The 2,722-nt window shown below is 44.4% G+C and overlaps 1 pseudogene; it reads left to right on the plus strand.

Moving 5' to 3' along the window:
• Positions 860-960, plus strand: VTRNA3-1P (vault RNA 3-1, pseudogene; annotated as a pseudogene).

Raw genomic sequence — 2,722 nt, forward strand, 5'->3', positions numbered from 1 at the left:
ATGTTGGCCAGGCTGGTCTCGAACTCCTGACCTCAGACGATCCACCCGCCTCGGCCTCCCAAAGTGCTGGGATTACAGGCGTGAGCCACCGTGCCTGGCTCTGTTTTTTTTTTTTTTTTGTTGTTGTTGTTGTTTTGTTGTTTTGTTTTTCTGGTTTTTTTTTAAACATAAGTGACTCCATTTAGATTCTGACACCTTTCATAGCAATAATGTGAGGACCTTGAGTACTTTGCATTTTTTTTCCAAGGTGTGAGCTTTCTGAGGTATTTGACCTCAGGAGGTGGCTGACCAACAGTATGAGGTCCTGAGGTGTTTAGGAGCCTGTGTCACAAGATGTGAAGTCACTGAAATATTTTTCTTTCAGACTATGAATTTCTTGGGATATTTGGGGGTCTGAGTTTCAGGGTGTGAAGACTGTAGGCTGTTTCCCAGGTCTCTGATCTATAGGCCAGGCTGTGAGGCTTCTGAACCCTTTAGGGTTCTACCTCCCAACATGTGACATCTCACAGTTCCTTGAATGTGAGTTCTACGTGAGGCAGAAATTTTAAAATACTACTAATAGTAATAATAAGTACTGCATTTATTCATTCCAAGAAAAGTAACAGGCAAGGCAAGGGTTAAAAAGAAAAGAACAAGTTTTCCTCTGCCTAGCAAGTTCACTTCAAAGACAGTTTTAATACAATGCTGTCCGAATACCCAAGGCCAAAGGGATGGGCTCCAGACACCCCCACCCCGCCCCGCCAACTTCCAGAGCAAGGTTGAAGGAATAAAAAGAGAAAGACAGATTCTTTTACTGTTACTCTTTTCCCAGGCTTCTTAAGCATTATTATGTTTTATAAATGTCTCCTTTGCCTCTAGGGGCTGGCTTTAGCTCAGCGGTTACTTCGACAATGCTTTCCATGGTTAGGAAACCAACCTCTCTGGGTGGTTTGAGACCCGTGGGCCCTCTCCAGTCCTTTTGTGGTCGCCAAAAATGTTGCGGTAAACTGAGGAACAGAGAGACCAATATGGAGTACATGAGGATTGTTGTTTATTTTAGGTACGCACCGGCTCAGTGGATTCATATTCAAAAAGCTGAGCCAGTGTGTACCTAAAATAAACAACAATTCTCCTCTACTCCATATTGGTCTCTCTGTTCCTCAGTTTACCGCAACATATGAGCTGGTTTATTTTTATCATGGTGTTAGTTCTCTGAACTCTTTATGGGTCCATTTTCATCATTGTGAGGTGATTACCATTTTTGAGGATTGGTATCCCTGACCGTGGACATTTCTGAACTTTTGAGGTTCTCTCCTTGAGTTTGAGGCCACATTGTTCTTCCAAGGCATATTTACCCATATACCAGGTCTCTGAGCCAATTTATTGACTATATCTAAAATGTGAGGACAATGAGCTTCTTTCTTTCTTCCTTCCTTCCTTCCTTCCTCCTCCCTTCCTTCCTTCCTTCCTTCCTCCTTCCTTCCTTCCTTCCCTCCTTCCTTCCTTCCTTCCTCCCTCCCTCCCTCCCTCTCTTTCTTTCTTTTCTTCTTTCTTCTTTCTTTCTTTTGTTTTTTTTTTTTGATGGAGTCTAGCTCTGTCGCCCAGGCTGGAGTGCAGTAGCTCGATCTCGGCTCACTGCAACCTCCGCCTCCCAGGTTCAAGCGATTCTCCTGCCTCAGCCTCCTGAGTAGCTGGGATTACAGGCACCTGCCACCACGCCCAGCTAATTTTTGTATTTTTAGTAGAGACGGTGTTTCACTGTGCTGGCCAGGCTGGTGTTGAACTCCTGACCTCAGGTGATCCACCCACCTCAGCCTCCCAAAGTGCTGGGGTTACAAGTGTGAGCCACCGTGCCTGGCCAATGAGCTCTTCAGTATCTTTTTGTAGGATGTTAAATGTACAAGTAATTTTGGGAGTCTGTATTTCAAGTTGTGAAATCTCAAAGACTGGTGGGAGCATTTTATCATGTGGTGATATTAGCTGTTGGGGAGTTCTGTGTGCTAGAGTGCCAGGTCCCTGAGTAGCTTGAGGGTCTTTGTACAGGCTGTGATATCTTTAATCTGTTTGAGAGTCTCTATACCATGGTGTATGGTATCTGAGTTACCTGGGTCTTTCTTCCACGGAGTGAAATCTCTGAGCTCTTTTGTGTCTTGTGTCACATAGTGTGAGGTCTCTAAGCTTTTGGGGAAATCTCTGTCCAAGGTGTAAGGCTGGCTTTCTTTCTTTCTTTTTCTCTTTCTTTCTTTCTTTCTTTCTTTCTTTCTTTCTTTCTTTCTTTCTTTCTTTCTTTCTATCTTTCTTTCTTTCTTTCCTTCCTTCCTTCCTTCCTTCCTTCTCTCTTTCTCTCTCTCTTTCTTTCTCTGTTTCTCCTTCCTTCCTTCCTTTCTTCCTTCCTTCTTTCTTTCCTTCCTCTGTCTCTCTCTCTCTTTCTCTCTTTCCCTCTCTTTCTTTCTCTTTCTTTTCTTTCCTTTTTTTTTGAGACAGGGTCTTGCTCTGTCACCCAGGCTGGTGTGCAGTGACACGATCTCAGCTCACTGCAACCTCCACCTCCTGGGTTCAAGGGATCTTCTCACCTCAGCCTCCCAAGTAGTTGGGACTATAGGCGAGCACCACCACACCTGGCTAATATTTTTGTATTTTTTTGTAGAAACAGGATTTTGCTGTGTTGCCCAGGCTGGTCTCAAACTCCTGGGCTCAAGTGATCCACCCACCTCTGCCTCCCAAAGTGTTGGGACTACAGGCA

The sequence above is a fragment of the Homo sapiens genome, chromosome X, assembly GCF_000001405.40.
Source record: "Homo sapiens chromosome X, GRCh38.p14 Primary Assembly".
Taxonomy (NCBI): domain Eukaryota; kingdom Metazoa; phylum Chordata; class Mammalia; order Primates; family Hominidae; genus Homo; species Homo sapiens.